A 26,436-nucleotide genomic window follows, 5' to 3' on the forward strand; every position below is an offset into this window, starting at 1 on the left:
TAATGTTTCTAAATCCATTCTCTAATCCCCACATTGCTGTCAGCGGGGAGTTTTGAGATAGACTTGGGGAGAAACTTGGCAAGATCTGCTCTGTGTGTGTGTGTGTGTGTGTGTGTGTGTGTGTGTGTGTGTGTGTGTGTTAATGTGTGATGAAGGAATTGAAGATAATTCCCAGAATTCTGGCTCAGAAACTGATGATTAATTAGGAGAGAGAGATTTGCTGACTGAAGGTCACTTGAGAGTTTGTGATAATAGTTGCTCTGGGAGCAACTTTGGATTTCTTTCCAGGGAATAAACATAGCTCTTTGACTTACAAGAAAAAGGGTAGGAAAAAAAAAATGACTGAAGAATTAATAAAGAAGGAAAAAAGAATATTTATAACCAGAACAAAAAATGACTGTTGAATTGAAATCTCACATCAGCTTTTGCCACAGCATGTGACCGTAATCTCATTTAACTAGTAAGATGTCATGATATTTGGTGTAATTATGCCTACCTGCTTCATTCAAGGCAAAATCTTCTGCCTTCCTTTGTTTTCTTTGCCTTCTGAAGTAAGAATATGCTGGTCCTGGAACTCATTGAAGTGAACTGATATCATAAATAATTAGTCAGGAAAATAATGCAGACCTCAGTGTTGACATAACATAAGAAATAAAAAATCTCAGCTGGGCTTGGTGTCTCACGCTTGTAATCCCAGCACTTTGGGAGGCCGAGGTGGGTGGATCACCTGAGGTCGGGAGTTCAAGACCAGCCTGACCAACATGGAAAAACCCAGTCTCTACTAAATATGCAAAATTAGCCGGGTGTGGTGGTGTGTGCCTGTAATCCCAGCTACTAGGGAGGCTGAGGCAGGAGAATCGCTTGAACCCAGGAGGTGGAGATTGTAGTGAGCCAAGATCAAGCCATTGCACTCCAGCCTGGGCAACAAGAGTGAAACTGTCTCGAAAAGAAAAGAAAAGAAAGAAAATTCTCAGAAATGACATAGCATGGTAGAGTGGAGAGGACACAGGAATTCAGAAGTCTTGGGTTCCAAGCCCTTCTCAGTAACAGCCTGTGTGTGTAAACTTGAGCAAATCATTCTCTTTCTCTAGGCCTCAGTTTTATCATCTACCAGTTTTATATATTAGTAACTTTGCTTTCAGATTTTGGTGAGGATGATAAAATGACTTGATAGCTGAGAAGTCTGGTGCAAACTGTGAAGTACTGTTTAAATGCTACATTTGGAAATCATCTTTTTATACCTGGTCTTACTTTTTTAATTACATAGATGACAGAAATTCTCTGAAGTACATGGAATTTGCTTTAGCTCTGTCCCAGTGATGTAGAGTTCATCTCTTTTTGTTGCTAACACAGTCCTAGACTCAGAGGAAAGATTAATTCAATTATAGCAAACATATTAATAGTTGGCTTTAAAACCAAGAGCCTCATGAAGATACAGATAACTCCCTGCATCAATTCCTTTGAGTCTATCTCTGTTTCTCATAACACTCTGGCATGTGATTTATACTTTAAAGGTACATCATATTAGTCTAAACAGTAGACTGTATGTGGGCTGGTGCCAAGATTAGGAAATCAGTGACCAGTCAAGCAGGGCAGGTCAGTCAAGCTTATGCCACCTTAAACAACTTTTCTCCCTGTCCATTTTGTCAGGCTTTTCTTGCTAGCAATGGATGAAAATGCGTGAATCGTCCATGTCATCATTTGTGTTCAATGGTCAATCATGGATTAGAATCTGATTTGTTGCTGTGAGACTTAGAAATCTGTCTTTTGTCTTAGAAGAATCCAATTGATGGTATATACCTATTTCTTCCAAGATTTTTGGCATTAATTAACTCTATACCAGGCATAGAGAGAATCACTGAGGAAAGATGCCTCCCAGGTAACAAAGGGGGCTTTTTCTGTTAATGCAAGGGGGAGTAAATTGCTGCCATTTAGGAAATACATTAATTCTTTCAGGCTACCAGTGCCATGCAGTGTAACAAAAAGGGCAATTTATCAAATAGTATCTTAATGGCCTAGAAGGGTTAATGCACCTTTAGCTGAAGATTGTACTCTATTCCCCAGTGAAATCATGATGATTTCTTCACAGAGTCATTTAGGTTAGAATATAATGCCATTAACCCACCGCCGGCCCCCACCTCCCAAAATAAGTGAGCAGAGGAAGAGATAGAAAAGGGGGAGAGGAACAAATTTTTTAAAAATCACATTGTCATTTTAAGACCTGCTCTTTTTGGAAAGAAGCATTTCTCCTTGCTGTTCCTCTCCACCTCAAACCCCCTCAGTCCACAAGTAAACACAAGTAAATAAAAATTGCTATCATCTTAATGATTGAGTGCATTTGAAGACCATGGACACTCACAATGTGAAATGATTAGAGTGGCCCAGAGGAGTCTTTAATTAAAGATGCCATTGACAAGATAACAATGGTTTGTGAATGTTATTAATAGATATGAATGGAAGGTGTACCTTAATTCAATAAGGGGAAAGTCACTGGTCCATGAGTTTGATTGCATATTGTAAAGGAGCACCACATACTGTAATTATTTTTATTTGTATGTGCCATCTCTTTTATTGCCCATGCTGGAAGTAGAAATAACCTGTCCTATTAAGATATTTAATATATATCATCCTTTCCACTTCATTTTGTTATAGCCTAATAAAAATACCCAAAGACACCAGCCCACACAGAGACAGCTCCCACGTTTTCTAAGACAATCCACATAGCCCTTTGAAAACCTGGACAATCAACCTTCTATTCCCCACAGTTATAATCTTTCTTTAAATTAAACCATAACAACCTCCAGGACTCCATAAAGTTATATACAAATATGGAGCTTCGCTCTGCAAATTACGGTGGGTGTTCTGGAAACTGAAACAATGAAGATAGCCCTAAAGTGAACAGATACCTTGGTTGGATTGCGTGGTGTCTGAGAGACAATAGTGGATCAGGAGACAGCCCCAGGGGGATCTCAAGGCATGAAAAGACTGGCAGAAGGCAGAAAGCTGGCTCCCTAGAGATGTCACGTCCTAGTTCCTAGAACCTGTGAATTGACAACCGTACAAAGGGGAATTTGCAGATTAATTAAGATCAAAGGAGAAGGAGAGATTATCCTGGACTCTCCAAGTTTATCTAATGTACGGGTCCTTAGGAGAAGAAGGTAGGAATATCAGAGGGAGAGACAGATTTGAAGGTATCATGCTGCTGGCTTGAAGAAGGGGCCTTGAGCCAAGGAATGCAGGCAGCCTCTAGAAACTGGATTCTCCTAGAACCTTCAGAAGGAGCACAAGCCTCCTGACAGCCTTCATATTAGCTCAGTGAGGCTTCTGACCTAGAGAACTGTGGGATAATTTGTGATTTAAGCCAGTAAGTCTGTGCTGTGACAGTAATGGGAAGCTAATACAAGCCTCTATTTTGACCCCTCTGTGTACCTCAGGGCCCTGCTTTCCTTGGGCTTTGTTTAGTGTCTATGAGTGCAGTCTTAATTCCCATGCCGACATTTTAATTTAAACTCCAGGTTTGGAGAATATATCCCAGGGAACATATTCCTTCTTCCTTCTACTGCCTACCTATCCCAACCATGAGTAACAGAGTAGTAGACTGTGGTTCCAGCTCTGCAAAGTTGAGATGTGACTTTGGTTGGGTTACCGACCCCATGCCATGCATCTGAACAAAGAAGATGTTGGCCTCAAAACTCCTGAGCCCCTCCCCAGCCTAAAATAAAAGGATTCTGTGAAATAGGTTTCAGATTACCTCCAGAGAAGGCTGTTTTCTCTATCCAGAATATAAGTGCATAAGCGTGGTGGATATAAAAAAATGCCCCAGCAGCATGATACATAGTCCCACTCTTCTCCCATCCTCCTCACTCTCATTCATTTTTAAGGCACTTTCAATGAGCCATCATCTCACTATCTCACTTCTTCTAAAAAGGCAAGCTAAATGCAAGCCTGACACTGCATGAAAGATGAGGCTTAAATTGTGTCTAGGAACTGGTGATTTACACATGATTTGTGATTCCTTTAGTATATTAATTGGTAAACACCCTATGAATGTGTGTGTAAACTAAAGCCGTTTAACATATGCAAACAGGGTAATCTCTCTGTGTGGTGTTGCTCAAATTTCAGCAAATTCAGATACTCATTCCAGTGTGTATATAATTCCCCTCCCGCCCCAACCCCGTATGCCATCTCTTTCTGTGATCCTATTTCAGATAATAGCGTGTGGGTGACCCAGATCTTTAAGCCCTTTAATAGTACATCCATATGCTTCTATCCTCAGTGAATGGAGCTTGTTGCTTGTAATAATCCACTGTTCTAACTGCTCCTTTTCCTGCCCCTATGAATGGACTATAATGGCATGATGAGTTATAACATTATTTCCAGTTACTGCTAATCAGCCCCCCAACCTGAAATCCTTGCCTATTAATACACATGTTACTCAGAGAAACAGGATGTAGGAACAGTCCCCGTGTAGTTGGATTTTCCATCATAGTAGCATCAGCCAGGGCCTTAATATTGAGCATTTAAACTTGACCATCAACTATATTCCACTTCAGAATGGACTGTCCTATATTTGATGGAGCACCAAGGCCCCAGTGCATGAGATGTTGCTTTGGATTTTTTTTTAAGAACTACACAACTTTTCTCAAATGTTAGTGCCAGCACCACCTTGCATGTAGAAAATGCAGGTTCCTGGGCCCTATCCCAGAAATACCAAGTCAAAATCTTCATTGGTGGCATCCAGGAGTATAATTTTAAACAAGCTTCCTAAGAAATTTTGAAAAACATCACAGTTTTAGAACCACTTGAAGATGAAAACAGGAGTCTGCTATAATAAAGAGAAGATGTTGCTCAATGTCACTTTTGTCCTCCATTCTGCTCACTTCCTGTTCTCCCTCTCCAGGAGTCTGTTTTCTTAAATCACACATAGCGATTACCAGAAGTAGAAGACATAGCCACAGTGTTGGGGTTGGCTGATGGGAAAAGCTGGCTTTAAAGGGTCCATCTGTCTAGGAGATTCGATGATGTCATGTCCCTGGGACTGATCTGAAATCTCTGGTCAGAGCAATTGAGTAGGAGAGAGATCTGACTCCAAGAAAAAAAAAAAAGAGAGAGAGACAAATAATAAACCTTAAAACCTTAATTTTTATCCACAGCAATTTTAGTACCCCAGGTCAAAATCTGAGGATCTTAATGAAAAATGAATAATAATAGTTAAAACTATATGTCTTGTGCATGGAAAACTTGAGTACAGCTTCCATCTATCAGCCTTGATGTCTTTTCCATTCAAATATGACTTAATTATGTATCGACCCAGGGTCTGACATAGTAAAACTATCATTACTCTCCTGCCTGGATTCCTGAGTGATACCCTGGGTAAAGGTGATCAAACCTACATTAATCTAGAATATAGACCACAAGGAGGAAAGGAGGGAATGGTAATTACCAAGCACAGCATGGAAGACAACAGCTACAGTAAAAACCTCATATTGGAACTTGGAACTGGTCACTTTCCTTAAAGAAAGCGAAGTGTTACAAGCCTAGCAGCAGGTCAAGGAGTATTGAGCACAGAGGTAAAATGTCCAGGATACACCTCCCATCCTGCCATGGTTATTAGCAGTTGGTGCCTCGTAGCTGACCTTCAACATGACCTCTGGTTGGCACTTGTGTGCAGATGGGTGCTGTAGGATGTTAGGTACTACGTGGTAAGGTCTGGACCATCACCCTGTCACCAACTGCAGCACCTTCATCATCCTCCACTGTGTGTTTCATACATTAATCAGTGGCCCCACTGATTTTTTTAAATTATTATTTTAATAGTTTTTGGGAAACAGTGTTTGGTTACATGAATATGAATAAGTTATTTAGTGGTGATTTCTGAGATTTTGGTGCACACATCACCCAAGCGGTGTATACTGTACCCAGTCACTGACAGCACTAGACAGGTCATCAAGACAGAAAGTCAGCAAAGAAACAATGGACTTATATTGTAGCCTAGAATGAAATGGACTTAACAGATATTTACAGAGCAGTCTACCTGCTGATTTCTTTGTAAGAATTCTGGAAAAATTCTCCCTGGGCCTTCTATTTTCATGCATTCATTTTTTATTTTTATTTATTTATTTTTTTGAGACAGAGTCTCGCTCTGTTGCCCAGGCTGGAGTGCACTGGGGTGATCTCGGCTCACTGCAACATCCACCTCCTGGGTTCAAGCAATTCTCTCGCCTCAGCCTCCTGAGTAGCTGGGACTACAGGCATGCACCACCACGCCTGACTAATTTTTCTATTTTTTTCTCTCCAGTAGAGATGGGGTCTCACCATGTTGGCCAGGCTGGTCTTGAACTCCTGACCTCGAGTGATCCCCCCCACCTCAGCCTCCCAAAGTGCTGGGATTACAGACATGAGCCACCATGCCCAGCTGCACTCACTTTAAAAAAAAAAAAATTTTTTTTAAATCTTGACAAAATTTCAAACTCAAGGAAAAATTGCAATAATATCAAGAATTCCTGTGTGTCCTACACTCAGATTCACAAATGTTAATATTTTACTAAATATTCTGTATTTGTCTCTCTCCTCTCTCCTTCATATACGTATAAAAGTCAATACATATATATACATATATGTGCATATGTGTATTTTTTAACCGCTGTGAACAAGATGACCCTTTATCCCTAGATACTTCCATGTATATATCCCCCAAACAAGAAATTATCTTGTATAAACATAGCACAATTAACAAAATCAGGAAATTAACATTGACAAAATACTCTTAGTACGTTACACACCTTATTTATATTTCACTTGTTATCTGAATAATGTCCTTGAGAGTAAATTAAAGTCCAAGTCACTTCATTGCATGCTGTTGTCCTGTGCCTTTGGTCTGCTTTCATCTGGAACCATTCCTGAGTCTTTGTATTTCATGACATTGACAGCTTTGAAGAGTGCAGGTGAGTTATTTTACAGAATGTGCCTTCCTCTGAGCTTGTCTAATGGTTCCTTATGAGGAGATTCAGGCTGTGTACTTTTAGCAGGAATGTCACAGAAGTGACGCTAGGTTCTCTTCTCTGTGTCCTGTCGGGAGGTATATTCTGTGGATCCATCCCATTCCTGGGAACGTTAACTTGGTCATTCATGCTAGGTGGTGTCTGCTGTGAAGTACTATTTTACCCTTCGTAAATAGTTAAGTACCTTGTGGGAAGATACTTTGGGAATGTGTAAATAGTTATTTATTACTGTTTAAACTTTCACCCAATAGGTTAACATCCATTTATGATTCTCAACCAAGTATTAATGTAGCTGATTGCTAATTGATGGTTTACTATATTTATTAGTTGGTTTTCTCTTGTGTGGAGGAGTTTTCCCTTCTCATTGATTCATTCTTACATGGATTTTTATTTTGTGGATTCTTATAGTATGACTCAATGGGTTATAATTCTTTACTGCCATGATTTACTCTGATGCTCAAAAGATTCCAGATTTGATCAGTGAGAATCTCTTCAAGCTGGCTTCTGTGTCCTTTACAACAAGTATTTTTGAGTGCTTACAGCGGGCATGTATGAAGCACTGGGGATGCAATGATGACCTAAGCAGGAAAAAAAAATAATCCCTGAGCTAAGAAGCATGGTGGCTTATACCTATAATCCCAGCACTTTGAGAGGCCGAGGTGGGTGGATCACCTGAGGTCAGGAGTTCGAGACCAGCCTGACCAACATGGTGAAGCCCTGTCTCTACTAAAAATACAAAAATTAGCCGGGCATGGTAGTATGTGCCTATAATCCCAGCTACTTGGGAGGCTGAGGCTGTAGAATCGCTTGAACCTAGGAGACGGAGGTTGCAGTGAGCCCAAGATGGTGCCACTGCACTTCAGCCTGGGCGACAAGAGCAAAACTCTGTCTCAAAAAAAAAAAAATTCCCTAGCCTCAAGGAGCTTACATTCTAGTTTGTGGGACAGACAAAATAATAATAAATAGGCAAATGGTATGGTACACTAGAGGGCATTAAGTGTTAAGGAGAAAAAGTCAAACAAAGATCTGCTTTTAGTATTGGGAATGTTGCAATTACCAAGGCCTGGTCAGAGAAAACCTCATCAGTAGATGTCAGTTAAGCAAGAACCTGACAGGCACAAGGTGGGGTAAATCATGTGGATGTCTAGGGGAAAACTCTTCCAGGAAGCAGGCAGCACTCCAGAGTACGAATTGTAGCAATTCCATGAGATGAGAACACACTGGCATTTTTAGTAGGATGACTGAGGTGGCTGCATGGGGGACAGGCTGTGAAAGGCAAGGATAAAAGCAAGGAGACCAGTATCATTTCCAAGGAGCCTTAAATGCCCACCATGCACATGCCTAAGGCATTGAGAATTTAAGTCAAAGCGTACACTGATGCAATGACAATGTATGACAATTGCATGAATTAGTCATCTCAGAAAGCAGAGTTCCTATAGAAATAAGACCGGGCTCTTAAATTATTAAACTTCTTCTATCTATACACAGCATTTAAACTACAAATATATCAGCATGCATGTATATGTGCACATATATGTATAGATAGAGAACAATGAAAAACATTAAGTAGCAAAAGTTCTATGCAAAAAGGTTTTTCAGTCTACAGACCACACTAGGGTGTATGATACATCGAGGTGGTTCATATTTTTATCCTGAAATCACTGCTTTTATTAGTTCACAGTTGTTATTAGCTCACAGCAATTTTAGAAAAATGTGTTACCTTTTTTTTCCCAGCAGGGACATGTATACTGCCTTGTTGTGGATTATGCAATGTGGGAAAGCTTAAATGCCATCTATGATTTCCTTAAGAAGGCTCATTTTTTTTTTTGTCCACATCCAATTAAAGGCTTCTCTCCCCAGCCCTCTGTCCTCAAATGTCCTGAATCTGTTTCCATGATTACCCCTGGACTATATTGTAACCCCCTTCCCCAGTCTTTCCCTGGGATGTCATAAGATCCAGCAATTTGACCAGAAATCTCCGGTAACAGAGAAGAAAAGTACAATCTGGTCACTGAGAGCAAGAGCCTGTGAGTGAGAAATTTTGGGTTATTTTCCTGCCATCACCTTGATTGACTCCTCTGTGACCTTATGCTGTTAACACCTGCCTCTATAGGTGTGCGAAGAGCTTTAATTAATATTTGTAAATCTCCCTGATTGTTACAGGTAGAAGGTAGCAGAAAAGGGCATATTGTTATTAATTGTGGGGAGAAAAAAATGGAGAGATTTTTGTGAAGTTCCGGTGAACTTCTGGTGAAGTTTTGTTCCTTCACCAGAGAGAGACCTACACCCATGGACACTATTTTCACAGTAGGAGGATTAAATATAAATCTTGATTTACTTACTCTGCACGTAAGGAAATGCCTAATGCCTATTTAATGCAAAACTCCTATTCCATGCCCTGGCTCATATTCAATATGCACTGCCTCTGACTCCTAAAGCTGTTTAAGTTACCACTGTGAAAGGAGTCTTGCTATTCACAACGAGTGTGAGAGTTCATCTAATTAGCTGATTTCAGTTCATTTGGCATTAAATAATTCCCCAAATTCCCATATGTTTGAACAATATGTTCAACAAGGAGGATGATTCTCTGAAAGCAATTAAATAGTTCTTTTAGGAGAGCTTGTCATCGGTCACTCATAAGCATCCCTGCTATTCCTGTCCATGATGAATGCAGGCGGTAATTACATGAAAAGCACTTCACCCTCTCTGATGGCCCTGGCAGGCACCCACATACAGGCTGCACATTTGAATTTTATGGTTTTTTTCCCCAAACCTTGAGTATGTTATTCTAGGCTTTCCACAGAGCATTTGATGTTGCTAATACACTGCTTTCCAGTCCCGCTCTCCTTGCCTCCCCTACTTAAAGGTAAATGAAGACATGATCATCTTAACCTGTGTTTTGCTCGTATAGGAAGAATTGTCCATTTTGGACTGTGGTTACTTTTGTGGAAGACTGAACTTTTTAAAGACATCTCCAGGGCTTCTTGGAGAGGGGAGGAGACAACATGATAATGTTACATCTACTGTTTTAGACGCAGTAGACATAAGATGCTCCTCAATTATATGGCTTGGCTTTATTGCAGCAGCAAGTTATAGATAATGAGCTCAAGTATAACCATTACTAACTTGAGAGAATAGGAGTTGTCAACATAAGCAATTCAGAAATGAATAGCACATTAGATGAACTCAGAGAAAAACTCTTTGTTTATAGAAGATCTTGGGAAAGATGGTATCTTTTAGCACTAAATTTTATCTTTATTTTGCCCAACGGGTTGCTTTTTTGGTCAAGGATGAAGTATTTAACTGTCCTTCCTAGGTAGTATAAGTAAAAGCTTTAGTAATAATACCAATTCCAGCTCTCCCGTAGCATTGCTCTATATTCAATATTATTATTTTTCTTACAAGTGAAAATCCAGCAAACAAAGGATCAAATAGCTTGTTGAAGAACACATATGCCATTGGGGGAAAAATAAGCAGACATCTGGGTTCTTCTCGCTGATTACTGTTCTGTAAACTACTCCTCCTTACCGTTTGGGGGCACAGATTAAAAACAAAAGCCAAAGACGTGAAAGAGGGAGGCATTCAATGAGGTATTATTATTCCATTTTAGTTAACTTTCACTTTCTTTTATCTGTTCCATGACACTGCATTCTCACTGTAAATAATTCACAATTCAAAAAAGCTGAACACCAGGTTTGGATTGAATGATTTTAAATTTAGATCTAAAATAGAAAAGAGTTGAAAGATACACATTTATGTATGATATTATGCACACTTGTAGCTGTCTACTGTGCTATTGCTATATAAGCTATGTATTTGTTCATTGGCAAAAAATAAATGTTTTCAAAGCCAGAATAGACACACTCAGTCTGTATCTTCAAAATACTGTTTTGCTTCATAATAATTTGCTTTATCATTTACCAGCATTAAGAATATTTTAGATTGTGTTTTCATGAGAAAGGAATTTGATGGTAATGAGATGACCAGACCAGTCATTTCTATAAAGTTTTTGTTTGCTCATTGATAATGGCATCAACAAGAATAAGGATTCAGTAGCTGGTGCATGACCCACCAGCCAGGTCTTTGCATTCTCCAATTCTGCCCTGTATTTCCAAAGAAGCATTTGTCATTTTGTTGGTGGGTTTGTCAAAACCTAGATTTGAAATCTAGGCTTAAACTCCTTCCGTGTGTCTGAGAACTTCATGACAAATGCTTGTTCTCCAGACCAGTCCTTTGTAAAAGAAAATCCTGGAAAGGAATATTTATAAGCCTGAAGAAAACCCCAGTCTGTTAACCAAATTCTCATTCAAATATGGCCCCTCCTCTACATACTTCTCTCTTCTATCCTTTTTTCAACTGTGAAGCCTCCAGTCAGATGGCTCTGAGGTGCTCCTGAGTCCTGAAGTCACCTGTGGTCCTCCAGACATGATCGTCACCACTCCCTTTGCATTGACCATCCCGCACTGTGCAGATGTCAGTTCTGAGCATTGGAATATCCATTTAAAGAAGAGGACACAGCAGGGCAAATGGGAGGTGAGACCCTTTACTTCCTTTTTTAAACAGTGGGATTTGGGTTCCACCTATGGGATATATTTAACCTTAACATCTAACACCACAAATCAGCATTTCGTTGTTGGCAAAGGGTTGGTGGCAAGTGTTTTATAATATCCTAAACATATTGGCTAGTTGTTTTTCTTCCCCCCCCATTATAATAGAAAAGAGAAGCAAGAGATAATCCAGATTTGTTTGGTTTTAGAATACAGTTGTAATTACCCATATATTCATCTACACCTACATACCTGCTCATTGATCCCCTTCACTTCCCCCTTGGCCTTGTCTCTGTCTGAATGGACATTATTCTGTGGCCTCTGTGGAGTTAGGGAGGAGGTTCAGGGCAGGCAGTCTGTGTTCAGAAAGAAAATAACTATGTCTGTTTTTTTCCATCCTGGGGATTCTAAGGTATCTATGTTTAATCAGGAACACATTTAGGGCTTAATATTTTTTTTTAGTTAACGAATGCATTGAGAATTATTATCAGTGTCTATTTCCTGTGTGTATGAGTGCAAACAAAAGGGATACAGTAGGAGACAAGGAAAGAGAATGAGGATACATAATAAGACATTAACAACAGGGAAGACAGTCACAGCAATGACAGATTGCAATTGAATTACTATTTTAAGTGAAAGCTCTGATTTTTCTGCCTGATAGAGCTTCCTTTATGTCCATCTGCAGTCAGCTTGCATGAAACTGGGAGAATTATCTTTGTTGGAACACAAATGACCTGTTCCAGCCAGCCCTAGGGTCTTCCTCCCAGAAGGCACTTCAGGCCAAAGAAGTAAAAGGAAAATCATGTTTCTTTAGAAGAAGAAAATTCCCAGTTGCTACAATGGATTACCTTTACCCTGCCAACTAGTGTCTTGAAACTATTTTCTTTGTTCCAGAATGCATTCTGCTATTTAGTGCGTTTTAGTGCAACCATGAGCAGATTTCCTGGGGCATGAAGTTCCATGGGTTTCCTAAAGGGCCATGTTTTAGTCCTCTTCCCATTATGTTTGGCTTTGCTTTGATTTTTGCCACTTTAATTTTTCTTCCCAGCACTTCCTCACAATCTCTTATACACAGATGGTGTTATATTTATGCTCTATCAAACCAGTCACATATACTAAAGTTCTTATCAAGGAGGGTGACATATTCTAGTACATCTTATCCAATTCATTTATTTAGTGGTCCCTTGTAAATGATTTCAGTGGAATGAAAGAGGATAAAATGTTTGAGAGAAAATAAACATTACCTTAAGGATATTTAAAGAGTTGTCAGAAATAGTTGTAAAAAAAAAAAAGTTTGCTTATTGATAAGATTTAAGATTTCTAAAACTCAACATTGAACAAATTAGCCAGAAACAGAACTTTCCAAGTGATTTTTGTTATTATAACCAATGAAGTAGAAATTCCAACACACTGAACATAACCATTTCTTGAGTTTTTTTTTCTTTTGAAATGGAGTCTTGCTTTATTGCCCAGGCTGGAGTGCAGTGGATGGATCTCCGCCTACTGCAATCTCCACCTCCCAGGTTCAAGTGATTCTCCTGCCTCAGACCCGACCTGACCCCTTCCCCGCCCCCCAACCCCACCCCACCCCAGGAGGTCTTGAACTCCTGACCTCAGGTGATCTGCCTGCCTCAGCCTCCCAAAGTGCTGGGATTACAGGCATGAGCCACCATGCCTAGCCCATTTCTTGAGTTCTTGATGTCAGCAGTTATTTTGATAGAAGAGGAACAGTTAACATCGGGATAATTGGGCAATAGGACTATTCTGAAAACAAATTTATATTTGTGTGTTTATTTATTTGTGTCCTGGCAATATAAAGGTTAGATCACATCTTATTTCCAAGTGAGAGAATAAACATACCTTTCCCAACAGGAAGTGATGTCAGTGGAAGATGAATCTACATCCTGTTACTGCCTTTTGGACCCCTTTGCGTGTCATGTGCTCCTGGACAGCTTTGGGACCTATGCGCTCACTGGAGAGCCAATCACAGACTGTGCCGTGAAGCAACTGAAGGTGGCGGTTTTTGGCTGCATGTCCTGTAACTCCCTGGATTACAACTTGAGAGTTTACTGTGTGGACAATACCCCTTGTGCATTTCAGGTTAGCCTTTGTTTTAATAATTTTCTTTTGGTGTCATGAAAGTGTGTGTTTTCCAAAAGATCAGTATCAATTGAAAATTTTATTACTGAGGGTCTAGAAAATGAACCCACGCCACTGTAACTGCCCAGTGGGTTCACCTTGCCTGCTGCCTAGACAGAGCCAATTTATCAAGACAGAGGAATTGCAATAAAGAGTTATTCACGCAGAGCCGGCTGTGTGGGATACCGGAGTTTTATTATTACTCAAATCAGTCTCCCCAAGAATTTAAGGATCACTGTTTTGAAGGATAATTTGGTGGGTAGGGGCTAGTGAGGTGGGAGTGCTGACTGGTTGCTTCAGAGATGAAGTCATAGGGAGTCTAAGCTGTCTTATTGCACTGAGTCAGTTCCTGGGTCGGGGCCACAAGATAGATGAGCCAGTTTATTCAACAGGGTGGTGCCTACTGATCCATGTGCAGGGTCTGCAAAATATCTCAAGCACTGATTTTAGGATTTACAATAGCAATGTTATCCCCAGGAGCAATTTGGAGAGTGTCAGAATCTTGTAGCCTCCAGCTGCATGACTCCGAAACCATAATTTCTAATCTTGTGGCCGATTTGTTAGTCCTACAAAGGCAATCTAGTCTCCAGGCAGGAAGGGGATTTGTTTTGGGAAAGGGCTGTTATTGTCTTTGTTTCAAAGTTAAACTATAATATAAGCTAAGTTCCTCCCAAAGTTAGTTTGGCCTATACACAGGAATGAACAAGGACAGCTTGGAGGTTAGGAGCAAGATGAAGTTGGTTAGGTCAGATCTCTTTCACTGTAATAATTTTCTGTTATAATTTTCCAATGGCAGTTTCACCACTGGTTTGACTGGGATACCTACCTTGAAGCAAGAGCCGTGTTACTGTGTGGTCAGCAATGTAAGAGAGGTTGGGGTACTTGGCATTCAAGAAGAGAGAAGGGCTAAACTAACGCATGTGCAGAACATTGTGTGCTAAATTATGCAACTGACCCGAAACATAATCAGAATTCAACAAACAAACACAGACACAAACGGAGAAGAGTTTTTGGGAACTCTTTTACAAATTTCCATGGATGGATGCGATTTAGGAACAAAACAGAAAGGAACACCACATCAAGAGAAAAAAAGCAGCATGAGTCACAGGAACTAAAAGAGTTATTTGATGTGCAGAGGGCAGTGAGAAAATTGCTTGAATCAACTGAAGGTTGTAGTTAGGGAACCACAATTATAAATCATACCTATCACAAGGTAGTCATTTTCTATCCTGGACATATAGTCTATTAATTATCAGGGCTACTAGGGCAGAGATGGTTCAAGGTTCCTTTCCATTTTTGGTACTTTTAATCATGTAAGATTCATTTTAATTTAGCTACTCAGGAAGACTGCAAGTTTATTAATAGCAGCAAGGATGATGCAGAACTGCCTGTGTAAGCTCTGCCCATATATAAATAGCATAGCTCTCCTGACACACCTCATTCCAGATCCCTGCTATTCCAGTTTTGGGTCATTAAGTCCATTATGCAGAGTATTTCCTCAGTAACTAGATTTTAAGACACTGAGCTGGAAAACTCATGTTTACCAGTAGAAAAAAATATCACGACCTCACTCCTGAACATAAGCCAGTAAAGGTGACACAGAGCCAGCCTGTGTTCCTGAACCGCCCCTGAGTATCTCTTAAGTAGCACAGGTCATTGTGAAGGGCACACTTCATCTTTGGCTGCTCACAAAAGGGGTGGCTTTCAAAGGTGTGCCATTCTGTGGAATAAGAAACTTCAGTGTAAGTAGTTAAACCTCCTCCCACCATTGTCATTTAATACTCTTCCTCTGCACTCCCCACCCCACAATAAGAGGATTGCTCCAAGAGAAAATATATAACAGATATTCAGGAAGCAAAAAGAAAGAATAAATATCTTAAATAGAGGGTTCATCTTGGGGTCACTACTACTACTAACCAGTTATAAAATGTACCATGACTCAAGTTGGATGTTTAGTAACTCAGCCAGATTTTAAAAGCTGAGTAAACTGGAGTAACCATGGAGCATCATGGAAGATTTCCAGTCTCCTGGCTGATATAGATAACCCATTGCTGACTACTGTGACTGTGTGGAGCTGCTCACACAATTGTCTTGGAAGTCAGCCCTCATAACCAGTCTGGAGTTTTCTTTGAATAATAGTCTCCCAGCTGATGTATATAGCAGTGAGATAGACATGTACTTAAAGAGCTTGTTCTCAGTGACTTTCAGATCATCTATTTTCACCTCTACCATATTCTACCATGGCTCCACTGTTCACAGATGAATACAAATTACTGTGGACGTCATGAAAACACCATAACCATAGCTTTTCAAACCATTACCCATTTCTGGTTGGTAATAGAATCTTTTTAGACAGTGCTAGGGAGAATGTTATTCTCCCTCTAATTGAATCCAAATGTATTTCATCATTGAGAGATATTTCTTTTTTTTTGTTTTTTGAGATGGAGTCTCGCTCTGTCCCCCAGGCTGGAGTGCAGTGGCGTGATCTCAGCCCACTGCAACCTCCACCTCCCGGGTTCACGCCATTTTCCTGCCTCAGCCTCCTGAGTAGCTGAGACTACAGTCGCCTGCCACCATGCCTGGCTAATTTTTTTGTATTTTTAGTAGAGATGGGGTTTCATCATATTAGCCAGAATGGTCTCGATCCGCCCACCTCAGCCTCCCAAAGTGCTGTGATTACAGGCGTGAGCCACCATGCCCAGCAGAGAGGTATTTCTTAAATTAGTAAAACTCTTTAATTTTGCTTTAGAATAATGTTTTTTGGTAGAAATACCTTTGACCCCATTTGTCCTAATCTTTTTACCTCCAGTGATTCTTTCTCTCTCCTACAATGGCAAATAAAGCTGCGTTTGGTTGTACTTGTTATTGACAGGATGTATATGACAGCTGTCATGAGCAGAAAGGCCATGTATCCCCCTTGGGGTTTTGAAAGATCATCAACCTTGCTTGAATAACTTTTCTGGCCCACATATGGATTAAAATGAAACTTGTGGCTTTTCTGAACTGAGACTCCCTAGTACAGGAAACAGCCATGTACTCCTCCGTCTTAGTTTCTGGGTTTTGTTTCTGAAACTGTCTTGCTTTCTGGATTTTTACTTTGCTAAGTGAATGTGTTCAAGGCCTTCTGCAGAGATTTATTTTGATCACCTGCATATCCCAAATCATTTCATAGTGTGATAGCTTCATATGTGATATTGCATTGGAGGAGGAAATTAGTTACTAACCCATTAAAACAGTTCTATTTTAGGAAAGCCTTAACAACAGTTCCCTTTTTGAACCCCTAAAAGACCTCACAAATTAGTATTTAGCTCTCCCAACTTCTGTAGCGTAAGCTGAAAATAGAGTATACAGTAATAATATTTTCTGCAACCCTAAAAGAACCCTGACTTCTTAATCAAAATCAGTAAGCAGTTTTTCATGGAGCATTTCTGCAGAAATTGCCCACCCTGGAATGTGCTTCAACTATCCTTATGATGATACGTTTGTTGTGATTAGGAAATCAATGTGAACATGGTTGTTACAGCTGCTGTATTTATTGCAGTGCATCTTTCATATCTCAAAGAATGATAACAGATATGTGCCCAACTCTAACTGTGCTGTTAACCAAAAGGACGCTGGGGTTAAGTGCGGGGTTGCATCTTTCACTTCATTCATGTCTCACTGGGAGATTGTATCCCATAAAATGCTGAAATGCCTACCTTCTCCCCGGAAGACCTTGCAAGAAGGAACGTGTAGAGACTCAACTCCACCTGTCCTCTCAGAACTGGGTGGGGACCAGGCAATATAATGGGCCCACCATAGAATATTCCTTGAGAGAATTTCAGTATCTAAATAGGGACATTCTCTATTTTTAGTCCTGTCTTCCTTTCCCTGTACCCCCTACAGGGCTACTCTATTTGATTCTCATTTGCTCTGGGGGTAGCTTATCTGAGTAATACTAGCAATTTCCTTGACAAAAACAAAATACTTTGTTTACCTGGCTAAGACATAATTTAGTTTCAGATTTCTGAAGATCTGTTCTGATAAACACATCTAAAATCGTCTCTATGAAAAATTAAATCTGCTATGTTTTTCAAAAATAAAAATGTCATCTCCCTGTAGGTAGGTGAGAAAAGAATAAGAAGACAAGCAGTAAATGACTCCTTGTCCTTCTTGCTTTTGTGTTTTTGTAATAATTAGGGCTGCCATTTTATGCTTGTATGTTTGACATCACCTCCTTTGATAAATTCAAACCAAAGATTGAGAAATGGTGATATATCTTTGAAGTAGTAACATTTTAAGACCTGGATTTTGGTTATTGTCTTTTATTACACACGAACACACACATGCATGCACAGCCCAAACAAACCTTGACATAGGAAAGCAAGGAATTAAGCTGTTACCCTATCTATCTTATCTAAGAAAGAAAATAGAAAAAAACAACTAGGGTTTTTTTTGCCATTGCTCCCAGCACTCCTATACAGTACTCTTGGTACTCATTACTTACTTGGCATTAAGGTGGATTTAGAATCTAATTTCAAAGGATTTCCTCTAGATGTAGTTCTTGTGTTTATCAATAATGCAATGTTGGGAAATATTGTTCACGTAAAGCATTTAAAGGAAAGCACCATAGCGACATAATTTGTGTGTATGTGTGTGTGTGTGTGTGTAAGTTCAAACAGTTTTGTCTCATAAATATGTAAATTTAGCCTGCTTGTTTTAGTATCCCTGAAGCACACCTGAATATTGCTGCCTGTCTGATTAAATCAACATAAAGAGCTCAGTGAGGCACAAAGCACAAGTTTTTCCTGGCCACAGCTTCTAGAACTGGATGACTTGCAACCCCACTGTAAAATGATGAAACAGAATGCTGAGAAAAACCACCATCCAGAGCCTTCAGGTGCATTTCATATACAAAAGCTGGCCAGACCCTGTTTCCTAGTTCCATTAACTCGGATTATTAGTTTAACAATGGAATGAGGTATTTAACAGGAGGTCCTTGTCACATAGAAGGCAGACTGGAAAAATCAAATTACTATCAAGCCTCACTTTGGGGATAATTGATCCATATGAGTGATTTAGAACTAGCTAAGCAGAGTTGTCCAAACCTGGCTGGTCATCAGAAGCATCCAAGAAACACTTACAAATACTCAGGCCTAGCCCCCCAGAGTAATACAGTAGGCTCAGGGAACTATGTGTTAAGTGCAATCCACTGTATTTGGAGAGTATTTTAAAGCTCATACTCAGGAGTCTATTTATTTAACTTCGAAGCCAATTGTGCCTTTACAAATTTATAAATACAATTATTAGTTCATTACCAGGCTTTTTCATTTTAATAATTGTTTTGTTATAGAATAACTGTAATTGCTTAATATTTTGTACAAGATTACAAGACACTGTTAATTGTATATTGTTGGCTCAATATGCGCAGATTTAAGGAGTAAGCGAAAAGAGCAAAAAATAAATCATGTTGTATTTAAATTTGAGGCCCTAGAGCAGAACTTTTAAAAAGGTACTCTTTTCTTCCATGATAATTATAAGCAGATATCTATTTTTTAAATTCTTAATATTATCCATTCTGAGTTTCAAGGACTGTGTAGACAGTATATATAACTCTAGGGCAAATATAGATTGACTTATGTCATCTTATACATATATCCTGCACCAGTGAAAAATCATTTATGAGACAGAGTTAATCACAGTCTGATCTTCACATGAGTCTTTAAAAAAAAAAAAAAAAGAAAAAAAGAAAGTCAAGCATAGTAGTAAGAAAAGGCAGGGAAATCTAAGAGAAAAAACACTGGACCATGATCAAGTTGCCCTGGTCAAAGTCTCAGGTCTCCCATTAGCCACGTGGCTTTAGGCAAATAACTTTCTTCAGGGAACTTCCATGTTTTCATGTGTAAATAAGGCACTTGGTGCTCTAAATCTTAAGTTCCCTTCAATACAACGATTGTGTGTAGTTTCTAACAAAATAGTCTAGTACTACACTAAATAACACATGACCTTGAACAAGTCACTTCATTTCCTGGCGTCGACTACTTCATGTCCATTAAGGAAAGTTAAATTTAAAGAAAAGGGTATATTTGAGAAAGCCTAGTTCGAATACACTTAGAAGAGTTGCTGTTATACTATGGCTTTAATATGGTCTTAATAAGCACATTTCTTGTTTGTTTCTGCTTGTTTCTAATCTTGCACCAGAATTGCAAAAAGAGGTTAATATATTATCATATTAATTATTTTGCTTGGCTATAAATAAACCCAGGTAAGGAACTGAAGTCTAAAGAAAATAATTTGCCCAAGACCACACAGAAATGTGATTAGAATTTTATGCTGCTATCTTCAATTTACAAGATTGGTACTCTTTTGAGTGCATGAAGACACCAAAAGAGTTTTAATGCACCTTAAAACCAGAGCAACATTACTCAAAAATAAAATACAAAGTCCTTAGCATAGCAAGCAAGAATTTGTTATTTGGTTTCTGCCCCACATTTTCATCATCTCCAATCACACACTTTCCACCTCAGCCTTCCATCCCAGCTCCGTCTAGCCACCATGCTTGTGAATGCCCTGCTCAGCATCTGGAGTGTTCTCTCCTTCCTTTTCAAATGGCCAGCTCCTCCATTTATTTCAACGTTTGGCTCAAATACTACCTCCCCTAGTAATGTCTAGACTCCTTTCCTGGTCTGTCCTCCCATCTGGGTCAGGGGCACCTTCTGTCTTTCTTAACCTCCTAGGCATTCATGTATGGTAATAGATACTATATTAGAACAATGCCTAGTGTCCAGACCCTTTCACAACATTGTAAGTTTCCTGGTGGCGAGGTTGTTTCATTTCTGCACACCCAGTGCCCAGCTCCAACATAGCTCTGATGGAAATTTAGTAAATCTCAAAAGAAGGAACCAGAGACTGCCTAATGTCTCAGCCAAGTACGCATTTAGAATTAATTTCCTATCCTCCCCATAGTGCCTCTTTTCTTCCATTCCTTGTAGCCTCCACCAGACATTGGCTACCATGTTATCACGTTCAACTCTGAAATCCACAAGGTTATGAATTACCTAGCACTGTACTGTCCAGTATGGTCATTGCTAATCACATGTGGATATTTAACTTTAATTAAAAATTCAGCTCCTTCATCACTCTAGCCACATTTCAAGTGCTAACAGCCACTTTAGCTAGTGGGTACCATAATGGACCACACAGAGATAGAATATTTCTATCATCACAGCTAGTTTACAACACTGACCCTTGGGCCCCAAGAAACACCCTTCCCACAAGCAACACCAAAGAGCTGGAGAAAATGCCACTGATTTAGTCCTGGAAAAAGATACTAGCAACCTATTAACAGTTTATGTGTACGTGAAGGATAAAACTTGGGTGACTTTTTAGTCAAAAATGTTTTTGTTACTGTCATTCTACTTATGGACAAGAGATGGATAAGATAACCAGTAGAGGTGTTTTTACTCTTTAATAATTGAAATGTAAGTTTGATTGTGTTTATAAACCTATTTGTTTTCTAACAGTCTTTTTTTTAAGAATCTGAGATTATAGGACATAAAGGAGTTCAGGTTTTAATTTCTCCTAGCTCTGCAAGGAAATAATATATCAATTAATTAATGGTGATTTCAAAAATGGACTTAGGGAGATCTCTTATATTCAGTAACACCAAAAGCCTCAACCCCGCACAATCATTTAGCACTTCCCTGAATATGTATTTGTTTTGTTATTCCATTTCTTATATCGTCTCTCCAATATGATTCTAATGCCACAAATTTGGAACCAATGAAATGGTTTACTCAACAGAATGTATGTGGATTGAGTTTGTATTAGATTGTATTACGTAAAGATTTTTCAGTGAAAGCTACAGGAGTGTTTCCTCAGAAATTTGATTTCTGTTTTCCTGAGGTACAGCTACCTTGATACACAACTTATTTTTTCTTGACCTTTTGGTATAATAACTTTTACAAACATTACTACAAATAAACATGATACATGCACACTGGGACATTTATTTTAAGCCAAAAGAATAAATATCATATAGTGCCTGCATTAGTGAAGAAAAATTGAACCAGAATGGAGGGGGGCTGTTTTCAGTTATGATGATGTGTCAGATTGAGCATGAATGCATCCCTTGATTGTGGTCAGAGAGTGAAATTCCTACAGTTGTGGAAACCCAGAAGTATTACGATTTGCTTGGGGTCAGGGGAGGTCTTTGAAGTTTAAACAAAGGCACAGTGTGGTTTAAAGCCTAAACAACACAAATAATAAAAAACAAATTGTCTCTTTCTAACCCAACACTTGTCACTCAGCAGTTGTTAATCCTTAGTCTTGAACTTTATGGACTATGGAGTTGTAAAGAAGTATGTTTCTCCTATGCTCTCTGTCCATTTGTGGAAGACACATGGTAGTGAGCATGTGTATCCCTAGATAGGAAATATGTAAGTAGCAGGATATTTCATTATTGATCTTATTTTCTTTTTCTTCTCCTATAGGAAGTGGTTTCAGATGAAAGGCATCAAGGTGGACAGCTCCTGGAAGAACCAAAATTGCTGCATTTCAAAGGGAATACCTTTAGTCTTCAGATTTCTGTCCTTGATATTCCCCCATTCCTCTGGAGAATTAAACCATTCACTGCCTGCCAGGTACTGGCCAAATGGGTTTCTAACAGAAACGGCTTTGCTTTAACCGGCAAGCATGTCACAGATCCTGGCAAGGGTCTGCTTGATTTTCCTCCTCCTTTAAAGGATGGATTTCACCTCAAAACTGTCACAGAAATGTAACAGTTTGGACTACACACACGGAATGAAACATATTGTCATAAATTAACAGCATTCTAACGGGTGGGAAGAAAGGTGCTTGCACGTTAGGTGAGATGGCATTTCTCCTCTCCTGTTGGAATCATTGCTCAATATAGGTTGAAGATGCCAGTTTAACAATATAGAGCCAGGTTTGTGAGTTGGTTTGTTTTTATTAAAATCAGTTCATTATGAGACAGCATCTTAATCATATTCAGCAATGAATAAACTGAATGTCAGTGAGGAACTTCTTAAGGGTGATGATTTTGAGTTGTAGAGAGCTATGGCTAGCCAGGTGGAAACAAGAGATTTTTTTCTTTCATATATGAAGTGTACTTGCTTCCAAATGAATCAGGCAAGATGGGAAGAAGAAATTACCAATTGAAAAGCAAAGAAAGAACATGGCTTTTACTTTTTCTTTTTTTTTTTTTTTTTAAGATGGAGTCTGTCTCTCTCTGTTGCCCAGGCTGGAGTGCAGTGGCGCAATCTTGGCTCTCTGCAACCTCCGCCTCCCGAGTTCAAGCGATTCTCCTGCCTCAGCCTCCTGAGCAGCTGGATTACAGGTGCCCGTCACCATGCCCAGCTAATTTTTCTATTTTTTAGTAGAGACGGGGTTTGCCATGTTGGCCAGACTGGTCTTGAACTCCTGACCTCAGGTGATCCGCCCACCTCAGCCTCCCAAAGTGCTGGGATTACAGATGTGAGCCACCGTGCCTAGCCAGAACACGCCTTTCTTAAGAGTCCTTTTATAAATATCTAAAGATACTTATTATTGTCCACATGTCTCCTATTAGAGATTTAAAAAAAAAAAATTCAGGGAGACTCAGAATCTCTTTGGATCCTATTTAGTTATTTCAAGTACATGCTTAGCCTTAAAAGATCTCTTAGAAACTTGTGATCCTGCCACTGAAGTCTACGAAAATTCCCAGTGATACATATTACAGTAAGCGGCTAGCTAGCCTACCATAGTTTCTAAAGCCAGTCATCTGTACTTCAAGTGCTTAAGGACAGGATATTTCCTTCACTCTGGAAAAGCTTCTGGCGGACTCACATTGACCTGGAATCACAGAATGCTTTCAGGCTTCTTTGTTTTACCCATCAGCATAATGTGTAGCGTCCTCTGCGTTTTGTAACCTTCCATCCTTGCAGCATTTTTTTTTTTTTTAACTATAGACAGGTATACCAGCTTGTCAGAATGGGAACAAGCCTAGTCACAAAGAGAAAACCTTGATTGCATCATGATGGTTAAAAAAATGTTGTACCACCAACCATCCAACTTCTAAAATTCAGGATTTTTAAACTGGACAGGGCTGCATTTTTCTATTGACTTTTCAGACTTATTACCTGAGGAATTGCCCGTCTGTACAGTTTAGTGCATTCAAAGCACACAACCATCTCTCATTCCCCTGAACACTTTTTTTTTCAGGGGGCCAGGGGCACATTCACCACATTTTTTCCATAGAGAGAAGTTTTCTATGAATAAATATATTGTGTTGTTTATGATATTCAAGATGTAGGTCTCTTTGCTTTCTGGTAAGCAGTATTCAAAGTTTCTAGTCCAAATTGAACTTCAGAGTATTGTTAAAACAAGTCCTGATAGTCATGCAAATTCCTCTGTATTAATCTTTATAGGTTATAAGGGCCTCATTTCACTGGATCTGATGCAAGTGACTTGGTCCAAAGTGAACTATTAAGTTTAATGCTTGGAGATAAAAAATCAGATGAAGGAACCATTACCTTGCAGCATGACTTAAACAATAATTCCGACACTAGGGATACCAAAGAAAGCCCCAGGAAGAAGAGGCTTAGGGGGCTAAGTGTTTACTGACCTCAGAGGGTACAAGAGGACCAGCCAAAGCCAGAGGATGTTGACTTTCAAGAAAACCCAGCAAGCTTTACTGCCGGGATGGGCTGGATTACATGGAAGTTGTGAACATGTATAAATATTTGCCTTTTGTAATTGAGCATAATTTGAAAGAGTCTTGGAAGGCTGAGAAACAATTTAATTTTCTCTGCATCAGGAGGCTTGCCACTGAGTTTTCATTTCCACTTCATTTTTCTTACCCCAAATGGCTTTCCGCTCTATTCCTCCTTTCTCTTCATCACCCCTACCACCAATTTCCTTGCCCTTCTCATCATTGAAATCCCTCAGCTTGTGTGAATGCATATTGTGCTTGGCTTAATGACCATGCTGTGTTTGCTCTGGGCATTAGATGTAAGCACTTAGGGGAGGGTTTGTGTTCAGCCTACTTGAACCTCATGTAGAACATCATGTGCACTGACAAACTTGGCATGGAGAATGGATAATGGCTTTTCATTAGGGCTTAGTGGTTAGGAACTAACAGGGCCTATTTCTCGTTATCCCAGAGAGCTATTGTGGAAAGAGAAAATCACACTATTCCTGACATTGTTTATAGGACTTTCCTTCAATTGGTGAATCTCCCTTTCTCTAACTTCAAATCAGGAATCTGGGAGCTGACTTATTACAATTAGTACCAAACCCCTCCTCTACTAGGAAACTTCCATTTTCTTCTGGGAAGGTAGAACTTCCCAGAAAGGTACAAGCTAGGGAGGTACCCAGTGCATACAATGTTTTCCCTATCAGACACCAGCAAACTGCATGAGAAATGTTTTTAGAATGGTGTGAGTTCAAGGTTGGGCCCTGAGATATGCGATGAGAGCCTGTATATTGAAGGATCAACTAGATCTTAAATCTTGTTGGTTTAGGTTCTGGAGGATTACAATTTATGGATGTAATTGCTTATGAAGCCAGGTATATTGGGTGAGAAGTAGGAAAGGCTATGTCAGCTCTTCTGAGATCTCATTATGGTAGCAGCCACTGACCTTGGTTCAAAGAAAACCTGAGGCCCACGATGCTAGTCTCCCCAAGTAAACAATTCATTATTTCCCATTTTCTTGTCAGTCCCTAAGACTCTACCACATTAGGAATATGTGATTTTCGCCTCTGTAGAATTAGCAACCCTTCTCTGGGAGGTAAATAATTCTATTCTTTCAATAGGTTACTGGGACTGAGATCACCTAAATCAGTTTCTTTTATTCCTTGCTGGGACTTGAGAGCTCCTAAATCACTTTCCTTTATTCCTTGCTAGCTGTGGGGTAGGGGAGCTGTAATAAACATAATACAATAAATTATTTATTTTTAAAAGCCAACAAAACACAAAGTCAAGTTGTCACCTCCCTAGGGTAAAAGCAGCTGTCTTTCCAGCATGCTATGTATCTTGGAGAACCCAGTGTCTGTCTCCTGCTAAGATATGATTTACATTCTCTCCATCTGCTAAGAACCTAATTATAATAGGAGTCAAAATGAAAACATTTCCGGAATTCTTTAAACACCCATAACTTTGCTACAATTTCTCCTCCCATATTACTTTCCACATAATTCCTCTCAGCTCAGAGAGCTCGTTGGTGTTTTTTGTTTTTGTTTTTTGAATAAATGAAAGTGAAGATGATTGCCCTGAAAACACACTAATCACGGTGCTTCTAATTCTATTATTTTTAAGTGTTTTGTTGAATGCTATTGGCAGCTGCTACTCAAGTCAACAATAAAAAATATTCCCTTGATACTGTCTTAAAATCAGATTTTTTAAAATGTTTGGATTGTGTTCAATGGAATGGAAAAGAGAAAAGAGGGTTTTTGTTTTATTGTTTTTTGGTGCTAATTCTCATGTCTTTCTGCAAGGAAGAATTATCTCTGCAGTAGGCATTACTCTTTTATATTTCTTCCAGTGTTTTTAGGAGAAAATACAGAGAATTTAGCAAATGATACCAGAGAAGATACTCATTTTAAATGAATGGTCAGTGCCTTTTTTTTTTTTTTTTTTGGAAGGCAAGCATTACCAAAGATTCAAATCAAATTGCAGAAAATGTACATTTGCTTAAGAGCTGGATCTTGAGTACGGTTCTTTGTCTAGCCCTGAAGTCCAAGTGCTTGCATTACACTATAATAACTCAAAT

At 39.3% G+C, this 26,436-nt stretch overlaps 1 protein-coding gene across 18 annotated transcripts in view; it reads left to right on the forward strand.

Annotated features, from left to right (window-relative positions):
• The window catches only part of UNC5D (unc-5 netrin receptor D), a 561,066-nt gene that overhangs the window by 501,687 nt on the left and 32,943 nt on the right, over positions 1 to 26,436 (forward strand). For 17 of the 18 annotated variants that reach the window (NM_001438417.1, NM_001438418.1, NM_080872.4 and 14 more), the window contains 3 exons: positions 11,366 to 11,534; positions 13,421 to 13,648; positions 22,159 to 22,308. In NM_001438417.1, coding sequence (NP_001425346.1) covers positions 11,366 to 11,534; positions 13,421 to 13,648; positions 22,159 to 22,308 — 547 coding nt within the window. The other variant, XM_047421382.1, reaches the window with a different exon arrangement.

This window comes from Homo sapiens, chromosome 8 (assembly GCF_000001405.40).
Source record: "Homo sapiens chromosome 8, GRCh38.p14 Primary Assembly".
In the NCBI taxonomy this organism is placed as follows: Eukaryota; Metazoa; Chordata; class Mammalia; order Primates; family Hominidae; genus Homo; species Homo sapiens.